Raw genomic sequence first — 14,974 nt, 5'->3', positions numbered from 1 at the left:
CTTATGCCATTCCAATCTATTCTCTACATTACAGTGATCTTTTGATATAAAATCAGATCAATTCATGCCTCTTCTTAAAATCTTTCAATTGTTCCCCACAGGTCTTACATAATGGTCCAAATGCATTCTTTGGGCCCATTTCCTGCTTCTGTTTCATCTCTTTTAACTCCCTGCCTCTCAGTCTATCCTTCAGCCATACCGAATTAGTTTGTTCAAAAAGCTTCATTTTGTCCTTTTTGTCCTACTTTCAGGCTTTTATATATGCTATATATTCATTCCCCCAATTTCCTTTCCTTCCTTAGTTCATAGTGTTAATGCAAACTAAATATGGCCTTAAGAAGGACTCCGTACTTCTATATTTGAGTCCGTATTGACAAACTGCAACCTAACTTAATAGGCAGACAAGATAGAAAACCTAACTTGGGGGTATGTGCCTGTAACAACAGCTGAGTCTGGGCCAACCCCAGCAGCCATACTTCAACCATTCATACACTGCTGAGTGTTCAAATAAGTTAAACACCAACCTATAACAAATCCAGCTGTTTCTGTATCTCACTTCTGATTTCTGTATGCCACTTTACTTTTTTTGTCTATAAATTTGTTCTGACCATGAGGGACCCCTGGAGTCTCTCTGAATCTGCTGTGATTCTGGAAGCTGCCTGATTTGCGAATTGTTCATTGCTCAATTAAACTTTAAATTTAATGTGTCTGAAGTTTTACTTTTAATAGTAGTTTTAGTCAAAAGGGGCAGTTCTTCATTTATGAAGTCTTCCCCAATTCCTCCCAAGGCTAGGTTAGATACACAGGTGGTCTCATCTTTTATCCTATCATTTTGTCCATCATCATCATACTTATGATAATTGTTTCTCTATTTGTCTTTACCCTCCATTAGACTACCAGCTTTGTGAAGACAAAGGTCACCACTACCTATGATGTCTAGCATTTAGCTGGCAAATGGTACATTTCAATAAATATTTGCTAAATTCATTAATTTATTGCTCTGAAAATTACATGAGGGTGCAAATGTAAAACTTTCCAACATAAAGCTTAGCATTTAATAGGTGTATACCTCTTCTTTTAGTCTGCATTTTGAACTTTCAGAGCAAGTAATCACAAGGTACAGGATCCTCCTTTCTAATGTAGGGCTGGGACGAAGTAAAATTTTGCCAAAGATAGAGAATGTCTTTGGAATTCTCTCTCCAATCTCTTAATAACTCTGCTGCCCTAAGCATGTACATTCATAAAACTGTTATACTTTTGTAATGAACATGAAGGGACAACTAAGTGCAAAAGCAAATGAATCTTAAAATCATAAGGTTATGTGAAGAAGCCACAAAAATATATGTGTATACAGCATAATTCCATTTATATGATACTAATATAATATGAAAAACTAAACTATATTGTGCAGAGATGTTTATATACTGGAAACATAGATAATAAAAGTCTAAGGAGAAGCAAGGAAGTTATTAGCATAACAGAATAGCAGTTATGGAAGACAGGAGTTAAGCAGAAAGAGTCTCAAGGACATTTCTGTAGTGCTGCATTATTCTACTTCTTTATAATTATTTATTTAATGAAAACTAGGAAATTTTCTCTTAACATCTGTTATTTTATACACATACATGCAAACATATATGGTCAAAAAAGAGAACAATCATAACATAGTAATTAAAATAAAAAATAATGCTATTTAAAGAGTGGTCCAATATTTCTTTGAGCTACTTGGAACAAAATTTTCTCAGGATTCAACATATGAAGGCTAGCTTAGGACTTCAAAAGCCTTATTCACATAAAAGATTATGGTGCTCCTACTAGTAATTCGATACTCAAATATTAAAATATAAACTAAGTGTAAACAAATGCAGAGGTGTTTTTATTTTTCCCAAGATAAAAAATGTTATTTTAAAAATTAATATGTCAAAACATTTTTTAAGAATACGTATAATTTCTTCTGGCATGCACACGTATTTGCTGGTGCCTAAAGCATATTTTTAGTTTGTCTACTGCTAAGATAGTACTGAATGATCACTTAGAATTTTTATATTTTGAAATTCTTTGCCATTTTCATTGAAAATATAATACTAGATTATAAATATGACATAATTATTTTAAAGCTCAAATAAGAGAAGAACAAGAAAAAATAGGCAGAAGAGTATAATCACAAAGTATCTGTTGAATACACAAATGAATGATTTCTTTTGTGTTCAGTGTTTGAAGTTCATATTAATTTCCTTTGGCGTATACTTCTAATGCAGACTTTCAAAAAAGATCAAACAGGTAGATAAAGATCTATGCAAGCCAAATTTATGAGGAAAATAATAATCTGATTTTCATGAGAGTCATTTTATGACTTTCTACTAAGTCATATTTAGCAAAAATCCTAAAAAAGTTCTATCATAAATTGTATATCTACTCTCTTATTACCACAAATATTTTTACCCAAGAACAAAGAAACCTGAGAATAAAATCATACCCCTCAGAGGCATTAGCATAAAAATCTCTACCAACCTGCTATATTAAATAACAATTTAACAGTAATTTAAAAATATCTTTGTTAATTTACTACCAAAGGATAATTCTACATATATAGTTTTTATAGTAGTGGCTAACTTATAAATACAGCAACTTATAAATAAGCAACTATAATACAGCAGCTTTTTTTTCCTGGAATTGAGGGGTGGACATACCAAATTTTCTGCTACTATATTCCTAGTAGAAATGACATGGTACAATGCTATTATAGATTAAGTCTGATTTAAAGCCTTGCTGACAACAATCAAAATATCATATAAGCAAATCAGTGCTGATAAACTAGTATCACAAGTCAATTTCAAAATAATTTTCTCATTAAAATATAAACTTTCAAAAACCACACTGACTATAATAACGGTATAAAAATATCTGCCATTGAAATAAATAGTATTTATTTTCCCTGAATTCTGCCAATCACTAACTAGGTGAGCCTAATATTTACTGATCTAAAAGTAACTGCATGAATAAAAATGATATTTCTTTTTTCTTTTTTTTTTTTGAGATGGTGTCTCGCACTTTCGCCAAGGCTGGAGTGTAGTGGTGCGATCTCGGCTCACTGCAAGCTCTGTGTCCCCGGTTCATGCCATTCTCCTGCCTCAGCCTCCCGAGTAGCTGGGATTACAGGCGCCCGCCACCATGCCTGGCTAATTTTTTGTATTTTTAGTAGAGATGGGGTTTCACCATGTTAGCCAGGATAGTCTCGATCTCCTGACCTCGTGATCTGCCCACCTCGGCCTCCCAAAGTGCTGGGATTACAGGCGTGAGCCACCACGCCCAGCCAAAAATGATATTTCTTCAGGATTACCTAATACGACATCTTTCGGAGCCAGCAGCTAAATGAGGCATATGTATATTTGAAATTACTATTCTAGTTTTAACAAGTTTCCAGGAGAAATCGTTGCTATAATACAGGAAGAACTGATATCTCAGCACTCTTTACTTTTTATCTGTCCTCAATCTGAACTGAAGCAAATGCAAAAAGAGAAGTCACTAGGGTAAAAAAAAAAGACATAACAGGAATAACAGAGCAAAAAGGTTAAAGTCTAGTAAATCTTGTTCTAAGACTTTAGAACTTTCATGTTCTCATTATACTTAGATTTCAATTTATGACAAGTTTTCTCTAATGTATTAAAAAAGACATTATATAATAAATAGCATTTAATTTCAATAAAGCTTCTAAAACCTCCAAAGATAAATAAAATACCATACAAGCATTTTTTTTTTTTTACCTGTTTTCTCGTTCATACATTTCCCTAGAGGCATTTCGAAGTTGATCAATTTCTTGGTTGGTTTTCAATCTGATTTGTTCTAGTTCATCATGTAGTTTATTTTCATATTCTGTTTTATAATGGTCTCTGCAAGGAGTGAAAAGGAACAACCATAAATTTTCTTTTGAAACAAATAGGCTTTTGCACTGTACGTAAGATTTTAATACCTTTTATCAAGTATGCTCTATAAACTGTGTTACCTGAAAAACTTAACTATTAATAGTATAAAGTTTTATAATTCCTAAAAATACTGTTCCTAACTAGTATGATCTAAGATTTCAACCTGTTAAACATTATTTTCCAAAAGACTTAATTACTATATAAAATCTTAGTAATTCATGTGGGATAATTATTCATCTTCCAAAACACTTTTCTAGTAGTTTTAATGCATATGGTTGAGGCTTCAAAATTGAGAATGTCCTTCATTTAAAAATAATAATGTGGTAGGATGATGTTGAGAGATGAATAATATTAACAAAAATATAAAAATGAAATGACTCGGAGTCTATGAATCCTTTGCTTCCAAGCATGACAACCACAGCCACACCGTGATCTTTTAGCCAAGTCGAAGTATTATATAGGGTATGAAAAACTACTACAGGCTAGGAAAAATTATGAATGTGTGAACTCTTTAAGAGTAAAATTTACCTTTACCTTTACCTTTAAGGTAAAATTTGTTTTGTTTTAGTATTTTTTTCTTTTTTTCTTAAAGAGATAATGCCTTGCTCTCTCACCCAGGATGAAGTACAGTGGCACAATCATGTAACCCCGAACTCCTGGGCTCAAGCCATCTTCCTGCCCCAGCCTCCTGAGTAGGCAGGACTACATGTGCTTGACATTGTGCCTTGCTAATTTAAAAACTTTTTTTTATAGAGACAGGGTTTTCGATGTTGCCCAGGCTGGTCTCAAACTTCTGGCCTCAAGCAATCCTCCTGCCTTGGCCTCCCAAAATGCTGGGATTACAGGTGTGAGCCACTGCACCCAGCATGTTTGTTTTGGTATGTCGATATAATTCAAGGGTTATAAAAGCGATTGATATTAAGGTACTTCAGTAACTTCTACACATCCAGTAGAAGAAAGAAGGCAGGACCAAAACATAGGGAGTCTGATTGAAGGGCATATAAGTTAAAACACAATGCGATACCATCTCCTCATAATTCTTTTACATTTCACACAGGAAATCGTTAGCATACTGAGATTTTCTTCCAAAATATACTTCTATAGAGATACTTTCATACTTTCTTTAAAAAAATACTTCTATAGAGATATTAGTCATAGGAATTTAAAAAATTATGCCACAAATGAAAAAACTGTCATAGCATATATCTATCTATCTAAAAGAAATAGGCTTTTGATATTGCTGAAAAAAACCACAGTGTCTTTTTAAAAACCAACTAGAAAGTAATATTGTGTAAGAAAATAAAATTGATAGATAAAACTCCTAGCTCCCTGGGACAGAGCACCTGGGGAAAGGGGTGCCTGTGGGTGCAGCTTCAGCAGACTTAAACGTCCCTGCCTAACAGCTCTGAAGAGAGCAGTGGGTCTCCCAGCACAGCGTTTGAACTCTGCTAAGGGTCAGACTGCCTCCTCAAGTGGGTCCCTGACCCCCGTGTATCCTGACTGGGAGACACCTCCCAGTAGGGACCGACAGACACCTCATACAGGAGAGCTCTGGTTGGCATCTGGCAGGTGCCCCTCTGGGAAGAAGCTTCCAGAGCAAAGATCAGGCAGCAATCTTTGCTGTTCTGCAGCCTCCGCTGGTGATATCCAGGCAAACAGGGTCGGGAGGGGACCTCCAGCAAACTCCAGCAGGCCAGCAGCAAAGGGGCCTGTCAGATGGAAAATTAACAAACACAAAGGAATAGCACGTCCACTCAAAGACCCCATCTGAAGGTCACCAACATCAAAGACCAAAGGTAGATAAATCCACAAAGATGAGGAGACACCAGTGCAAAAAGGCTGAAAGTTCCAAAACTCAGAACGCCTCTTTTCCTCCAAAGGATCACAACTCCTCGCCAACAAGAGAACAAAACTGGACGGTGAATGAGTTTCATGAATTGACAGAAGTAGGCTTCAGAAGGTGGGTAATAACAAACTCCTCCAAGCTAAAGGAGCATGTTCTAACCCAATGCAAGGAAGCTAAGAACCTTGAAAAAAGGTTAGACAAATTGCTAACTAGAATAACCAGTGTAGAGAAGAATATAAATAACCTGATGGAGCTGAAAAACACAGCATGAGAACTTCAAGAAGCATACACAAGTTTCAAAAGCCAAATCGATCAAGTGGAAGAAAAGATAACAATGACTGAAGATCAACTTAATGAAATAAGGAGAGAAGACAAGATTAGAGACAAAAGAATAAAAAGGAATGAATAAAGCCTCCAAGAAATACGGGACTACGTGAAAAGACAAAAATACGTTTGATTGGTGTACCTGAAAGTGATGGGGACAATGGAACCAAGTTGGAAAACACTTCAGGATATTATCCAGGAGAACTTCCCCAACCTAGCAAGACAGGCCAACATTCAAATCTAGGAAATACAGAGAACACGACAAAGATACTTGTTGAGAAGAGCAACACTAACACACATAATTGTCAGATTCGCCAAGGTTGAAATGAAGGAAAAAATCTTAAGGGCAGCCAGAGAAAAAGGTCAGGTTATGCACAAAGGGAAGGACGCCCATCAGACTAACAGCGGATCTCTCTGCAGAAACCCTACAAGGCAGAAAGAGTGGGGGCCAATATTCAACATTCTTAAAGAAAAGAATTTTCAACCCAGAATTTCATATCCAGCCAAACTAAGCTTTGTAAGCAAAGGAGAAATAAAATCCTTTACAGACAAGCAAATCCTGAGAGATTTTGTCACCAACAGGCCTGCCCTAAAAGAGCTCCTGAAGGAAGCACTAAACATGGGAAGGAACAACTGGTACCAGCCACTGCAAAAACATAACCAAATTGTAAAGACCATCGACACTATGAAGAAACTGCATCAACTAACGGGCAATACAACCAGCTAGCATCATAATGACCGGATCAAATTCACACATAACAATATTAACCTTAAATGTAAACAGGCTAAATGCCCCAATTAAAAGACAGACTGGCAAATCGGATGAAGAGTCAAGACCCATGAGTGTGCTGTATTCAGGAGACACATCTCATTTGCAAAGACACATATAGGCTCAAAATAAAGGGATGGAGGAATATTTACCAACCAAATGGAAAGCAAAAAAAAAAAAAAAAAAAAAAAAAAAAAAGGCCGGAATTGCAATTCTAATCTCTGATAAAACAGACTTTAAACCAACAAAGATCAAAGGAGAATAAAGGGCATTACATAATAGTAAAGGGATCAATGCGGCAGGAAGAGCTAACTATCCTAAATATATATGCACCCATTACAGGAACACCCAGATTCATAAAGGAAGTTCTTAGAGACCTACAAACAGACTTAGACTCTCATACAATAATGGTGGGAAACTTTAACACCCCGCTGTCAATATTAGATAGATCAATGAGACAGAAAATTAACAAGGATATTCAGGACTTGAACTCAGATCTGGACCAAGCAGACCTAATAGACATTACAGAACTCTCCACCCAAATCAACAGCACCTCATCACACTCACTCTAAAACTGACCACATAATAGGAAGTAAAACACCCCTCAGCAAATGCAAAAGAACAGAAATCATAACAAACTGTCTCTCAGAACACAGTGCAATCAAACTAGAACTCAGGATTAATAAACTCACTCAGAAGCGTACAACTACATGGAAAATGAACAACCTGCTCCTGAATGACTACTGGGTAAACAACGAAATGAAGGCAGAAATAAAGATGTTCTTTGAAACCAATGAGAATGAAGACACAACATACCAGAATCTCTGGGCCACATTTAAAGCAGTGTGTAGAGGGAAATTTATAGCACTAAATGCCCACAAGAGAAGTCAGGAAAGATCTAAAACTGACACCCTAACATCAAAATTAAAAGAACTAGAGAAGCAACAGCAAACAAATTCAAAATCTAGCAGAAGACAAGAAATAATTAAGATCAGAGCAGAACTGAAGGAGACAGAAACACAAAAAACCCTTCAAAAAATCAATGAATCCAGGAGCTGTTTTTTTTTGTAAAGATCAACAAAATAGATAGACTGCTAGCCAGACTAATAAAGAAGAGAGGAAGAACCAAACAGACACAATAAAAAATGATAAAGGGGAGCTCACCAACGATCCCACAGAAATAAAAACTACCATCAGAGAATACTATAAACACCTCTATGCAAATAAGCTAGAAAATCTAAAAGAAATGGATAAATTCCTGGACATACACCCTCCCAAGTCTAAACCAGGAAGAAGTCGAATCCCTGAATAAACCAATAACAAGTTCTGAAATTGAGGCAGTAATAGCCTACCAACCAAAAAAAAATCCAGGATGAGATGGATTCCCAGCTGAATTCTACCAGAGGTACAAAGAGGAGCTGGTACCATTCCTTCTGAAACTATTCCAAACAACAGAAAAAGAGGTCCTCCCTAACTCATTTTATGAGGCCAGCATCATCCTAATACCAAAACCTGGCAGACACACAACAAAAAAACAAAATTTCAGGCCAATATCCCTGATGAACATCAATGTAAAAATCCTCAATAAAATACTGGCAAACCAAATCCAGCAGCACATGAAAAAGCTTATCCACCATGATCAAGTTGGCTTCATACCAGGGAGGCAAGGCTGGTTCAACACATACAAATCAATAAACGTAATCCATCACATAAACAGAACCAATCACAAAAACCACGATTATCTCAATAGATGAAGAAAAGGCCTTTGACAAAATTCAACACCCCTTCATGCTAAAAACTCTCAATAAACTGGGTATTGATGGAACGTATCTCAAAATAATAAGAGCTAGTTATGACAAACCCACAGCCAATATCATACTAAACAGGCAAAAACTGGAAGCGTTCCCTTTGAAAACTGGCACAAGACAAGGATGCCCTCTCTCACCCCTCCTATTCAACATGGTATTGGAAGTTCTGGCCAGGGCAATCAGGAAAGAGAAAGAAATAAAGAGTATTCAACTAGGAAGAGAGAAAGTCAAATTGTCTCAGTTCGTTGATGACATGATTGTATATTTAGAAAACCCCATTGTCTCAGCCCAAAATCTCCTTAAGCTGATAAGCAACTTCAGCAAAGTCTCAGGATACAAAATTGATGTGCAAAAATCACAAGCATTCCTGCACACCAATGACAGACAAAGAGCCAAATCATGAGTGAACTCCCATTCACAACTGCTACTAAGAGAATAAAATATCTAGGAATATAACTTACAAGGGATGTGAAGGACCTCTTCAAGGAGAACTACAAACCACTGCTCAAAGAAATAAGCGAGGACATAAACAAATGGAAAAACATTCCATGCTCACGGATAGGAAGATTCAATATCGTGAAAATGGCCATACTGCCCAAAGTAATTTATACATTCAATGCTACCCCCATCAAGCTACCACTGACCTTCTTCACGGAATTGGAAAAAACTACTTTAAACTTCATATGGAACCAAAAAAGAGCCCACATAGCCAAGACAATTCTGGGCAAGAAGAAGAAAGCTGGAGGCATCATGCTACCTGACTTCAAACTATACTACAAGGCTACAGTAATAAAAACAGCACAGTACTGGTACCAAAACAGATACATAGACCAATGGAACAGAACAGAGGCCTCAGAAATAACACCACACATCTACAACCATCTGATCTTTGACAAACCTGACACAAACAAGCAATGGGGAAAAGATTCCCTATTTAATAAATGTTGTTTGGAAAACTAGGTAGCCATATGCAGAAAACTGAAACTGGACCCCTTCCTTATACCTTATACAAAAATCAACTCAAGATGAATCAAAGACTTAAATGTAAGACCTAGGATCATAAAAATCCTACAAGAAAACCTGGGCAATATCATTCAGGATGTAGGCATGGGCAAAGACTTCATGTCTAAAACACCAAAAGCAATGGCAGCAAAAGCCAAAATTGACAAATGGAATCTAATTAAACTAAAGAGCTTCTGCACAGCAAAAGAAACTATCATTAGGGTGGATAGGCAAACTCCAGAACAGGAGAAAATTTTTGCAATCTATCCATCTGACAAAGGGCTAATATCCAGAATCTACAAAGAACTTAAACAAATTTACAAGAAAAAACCAAACAACCCCATCAAAAAGTGGGCAAAGGATATAGACACTTCTCAAAAGAAGACATTTATGCAGCCAACAGATATATGAACAAATGCTCATCATCACTGGTCATTAAAGAAATGCAAATCAAAACCACAATGAGATACCATCTCACGCCAGTTAGACTGGCAATCATTAAAAAGTCAGGAAACAACAAGCTGGAGAGGATGTGGAGAAATAGGAATGCTTTTACAGTGTTGGTGGGAGTGTAAATTAGTTCAACCATTGTGGAAGACAGTGTGGCAATTCCTCAAGGATCTAGAACTAGAAATACCATTTGACCCAGCAATCCCATTACTGGGTATATATCCAAAGGATTATAAATCATTCTAACATAAAAGACACATGCACACGTATGTTTACTGCAGCACTGTTCACAATAGCAAAGACTTGGAACCGACCCAAATGTCCTTCAATAACAGACTGGATAGAGAAAATGTGGCACATATGTACCATGGAATATATATGCTATGCAGCCATTAAAAAGGATGAGTTCATGTCCTTTGCAGGGACATGGATGAAGCTGGAAACCATCATTCTCAGCAAACTATCACAAGAACAGAAAACCAAACACCGTATGTTCTCACTCATAAGCGGGAGTTGAACAATGAGAACACGTGGACACAGGGAGGGGAACATCACACACCGGCGCCTGTCGGGGAGTGGGGGGCTAGGGGAGGGATAACATTAGGAGAAATATCTAATGTAGGTGACGGGTTGATGGGTGCAGCAAACCACCATGGCATGTGTATACCTATGTAACAAAACTGCATATTCTGCACATGTACCCCAGAACGTAAAGTATAATTTATAAAAAAAAAAAAAAAAAAGCAAACATATCTCACTTCATTTTTTAAACCCTTCTGCATTATTTGCAACCCAAATTATCCTAATGGATACATCAGCTCATTACTGTATTCAAGAAACGTACCTAAAACCAAATGACAAAGTTTTAAAATAAAGGCACATGGGAAAATTACACCACTTAAATGTATGCAAACAGAAAGCAGAAATGTCAAAATCAAAAAATAAAATAAAATAAAATAAAATAAGGTATTATCTTAGTATTATCATATAGAATAGACCTTAAAAAAATCACTAAATCTTCCCCAAAGCCAAGAGTTCCCTCAAAGAAAATCTGTTAATTGGTATCTATTTACGTGGGAAATAATGCAAATCTTGCCTGGATGCTACATATTTTTCATACATCTCTTCTCTAGCCTTTTTGCTTTCTTCCAGTTGAGCTTGAAGTCTTTCAAGGCGATCCTCTTCATGAGCACAGCGAACACTAAGCTCCATGTTTTGGCGATTAAGATATTCTTTATCCTTTTGCAGTAAAGTAACAGTTTGCTCTAAGGTGACTACCTACATACATGTAGAAACAAAAAGTATCCACAGTGATGCCATCTTACTTTTCAAGCTTGACTGTATTAATTTCTTTCCTTCATGTTTTCATTCACCACATGAAAATTTTCCTTTTAAAAAGGGCTAATTCTTAGCATGCAACTTTTTTAAAATCTAAAAATAGCTACTAAAAGTCTCTTTTTGGGGCTGGGCATGGTTGCTCACACCTGTAATCCCAGCACTTTGGGAGGCCAAGGCAGGTGGATCATTTGAGGTCAGGAGTTTGCGACCAGCCTGGCCAACATGGTGAAACCCTGTTTCTACTAAAAATGTAAAAATTAGTAGGGCATGGTGGCACACGCCTGTAATCCCAGCTATTCAGGAGGCTGAGGCAGGAGAATCGTTTGAACCTGGGAGGCGGAAGTTGCAGTGAGCCAAGATCGCACCACTGCACTATAGCCTGGTCAACAGGGAAAGACTCCTGTCTCAAAAAAAAAAAAAAAAAAAAAAAAAAATTTATCTTTTTGGGAGGAACTACATAACAAAAAAAATGTCTCTCCTTCAAATCTACTCTGGGCTATTTTTTTCACTAATACTATGCTATATAATATAAGTGACTCTAATTATAAGCTTACCTCTTTTGATAATTCACTTCGTTCTTTTGTTTGAATCATGTGAGAGGCTTCAAGTATTTCATGTTTTCTCCTAAGCTCAATTACTTCCTGTTCAAGTGCATCACGTTCACTGTTAAAATAAAATTCAAAGAGACATGTAAATTTTACATCCCCTTGTACAGCGTACACTTTAAAAGGGTTGACTATGTATTAGGACGCTGAATAGAGACACTAGCAATGGGGCTTCAGTGTAATTCCATGAACTATAAAGTACCTACTTTTCAGATTTAGAAGGGACTCTGTTTCAGACCTTGTTCAAATACATACATATCAATTTATTACCTTTAAGGAATATACAAACTACATAAGCCAGTACAGTAAATAATAAAACTTACTAACATACATTTGGTATTTTTTCATTAGTCATCTTCAATCTTATCTTGAGGTTAAAACTTTTAAAGAATGTATACATGGCTCTAGGCTTTCAGTTCAGTTAAGGTAAAAAAAAAAATACAACTTATCATTTAGATTGCATAGTAGATACGTAGGCAGGCATTCTTGTGACTATTTCATTCACAAATTGTTTATGATTACCCAGATTTTAATTTCCATTTTAAGACAAGTTCCCCAAAAAAGTTATACCAAGAATTGGACTAAAACCTACAACACACATTTTTTAAAATGAGCAGAGAAACAGATTTACTAACTCTTAACTACTTCCCTGCAGTCAGAAGCAGTGCCTTTGCACTTTATTTCACTGACCCACCTGGTATTTCCACAGAGAGGGCTGTTAGGAATTGTTTTCCTTTGCATCAGTTTTTCAAAAACGTTTAGAAAGCCTTTTTTCTTCTAGTTAACAAAATATTATGTTTATTGAAGAAAAACTGAGCAAAGCACAAAATAACAATCACCTACAAACCCAATAAGTAAAGATGACTATCAGTATTACTATTCTGATACATATTACTATACGTATTTTGTGCTTTTTTATTTTTAGAATGTTTAGATTATTTTTAATTAAAAAAATTTTTAAATTTTATTTTGTGCTTTCACATGCAATTTTTTAAAAAATCTTTTTTTTAAATTTTTTTTTTTTTTTATGAGATGGGGGTCTTGCTATGTCACCCAGACTGGACTTGAACTACTGCACTCAAGTGATCCTCCAGCCTCAGCCTGCCAGAGAGTTAGGACTACAGGTGCATGCCACCATGTGCCTAATTTAATTTTTTTTTTTTTTTTGTAAAGACGGTCTTGCTATATTGCCCTGGCTAGTCTTAAAGTCCTGGGCTCAAGTGATCCTCCTGCCTGTGCTTCTGAAAGCACTAGGATTACAGACATGACACGCTGTAACCAGCTTGGTTCTTTTTAATGCTTTTACTTACCAATCATTAACACTGTTGTATTTGTTTTGTAATATTAAATAAATATTACTTTGTCATATTTATTCAAACCCTCTCTCTTGTTAATATATGTGAATATATGCAGGTGTCTTAACGGTATATGTGGAGAATGGGTTCCAGACCCACCCCCACAACCTGAATATGCAAATCTGTACATGCTGAAGTCCTGCAGTTGTTGCAGATCCCACCAAACAGTCAGTCCTCTGTATACTCAGGTTTCACATCCCGTGAAAATTGTATTTTCGATTGGTGTTAGGTTGATAAAAACCTGAATATAAGTGGACCCCATGTTGGTCAAGGGTCATGTATCTATATGTGTATACACACCTACACACACATACTCATACATGTGCATTTGTTTCCTCAACTGAGACATTAGGTCCCTTTATCCCTAAATAATTAGTGTGAATTTACTAAGATTAAAGATAGTCTCTTATATAATCACAGTATAATTATCATATTCAGGAGACTTAGCCCTAATATAATATTATCTAACATACAATCCATTTTCAAATTTTGTCAACTGTCTCCCAAAACACCCTTTGTGAATTTTTTTTTCCCTGAGCCAAGGCTCTATTACCATAATGGTAATCCAAGGATCTATTATCATCATATTATAATCTATTACCATGCATCTAGATGTCATGGGGTTTTAGTCTCCTTTAACCTTGAAGATTTCTTAGTTTTCCTTGTGTTTTATGACTTTTTATAGAGCAGAGGCTAGCTGCATCATAGAATGCTCCTCAATTTTCACTTGTCTGAAGTTTCTTCATTATTAGATTCAGGTTAGGCACTTGGGCAGGAATACTACAGAAATGATTCTCAGAAATGATTCTCTGATACAGAAACGCATTCTCAGTATGTTATGTGAAGATGTACTGAGGTATGTGACGTCAGTTTATCCCATTATTGGTGATAGTAACTTTGATCACTAGGTTAAGGTAGCATCTGCCAGAGTTTAACTATAAAGGTATCCTTTTGCCCTTTAAAATTAGTAAGTAATTGTGAAGAGATGCTTTGTGTAAATATCCTATTCCCTAACATACTTATACTTCATGGTTTTATATTCCAATGATGATTCTGAATCAATATTATTATGCGGCTACAAAATGGTCATTCTTACATGCATATACATTTATTGCTTGGATTTCAACCATAAAGATCCTCTTTCCCAAAAAGGATATATTTATTACCACTGAACTGTACACTTAAAAATGGTAAAGATGATGTATTAAAAAAATTTTAAGATCCTCTTTCTGTATTTATTATTAGCCTGCACTTATAAACTCTTATTCTATTCAATGGACTGTAATTCATTATTGCCAATATTTATTGTGATATTCAAGTTTGCTATATTTAGCCAGTTGGCACCTCATCCAAGTGGCTGTTGCAGTGTTGAATTGGAATTAGAAGTATCAACGTGGGCTGGGTGCAGAGGCTCACACCTGTCATCTCAGCACTTTGGGAGGCCAAGGTGGGCAGATCACCTGAGGTCAGGAGTTCAAGGCCAGTCTGGTCAACCATGGAACCATGTCTCTACTTAAAAAAAAAAAAAAAAATTAGCTGGGCATGGTGGCGCAC

The 14,974-nt window shown here is 36.1% G+C and overlaps 1 protein-coding gene across 16 annotated transcripts in view; it reads right to left on the bottom strand.

Moving 5' to 3' along the window:
* The window catches only part of PIBF1 (progesterone immunomodulatory binding factor 1), a 234,329-nt gene that overhangs the window by 177,329 nt on the left and 42,026 nt on the right, over positions 1-14,974 (bottom strand). For 14 of the 16 annotated variants that reach the window (NM_001349655.2, XM_011534882.4, NM_006346.4 and 11 more), the window contains 3 exons: positions 12,015-12,123; positions 11,219-11,400; positions 3,765-3,890 (listed from right to left, as the gene is read on the bottom strand). In NM_001349655.2, coding sequence (NP_001336584.1) covers positions 3,765-3,890; positions 11,219-11,400; positions 12,015-12,123 — 417 coding nt within the window. Of the gene's footprint in view, positions 1-3,764; positions 3,891-11,195; positions 11,401-12,014; positions 12,124-14,974 lie in introns of all 16 variants that reach the window. The other 2 variants (NR_146205.2, NR_146206.2) reach the window with 1 other exon arrangement.

The sequence above is a fragment of the Homo sapiens genome, chromosome 13, assembly GCF_000001405.40.
Source record: "Homo sapiens chromosome 13, GRCh38.p14 Primary Assembly".
Taxonomy (NCBI): domain Eukaryota; kingdom Metazoa; phylum Chordata; class Mammalia; order Primates; family Hominidae; genus Homo; species Homo sapiens.
This window is presented reverse-complemented; position numbering and strand designations above follow the sequence as displayed.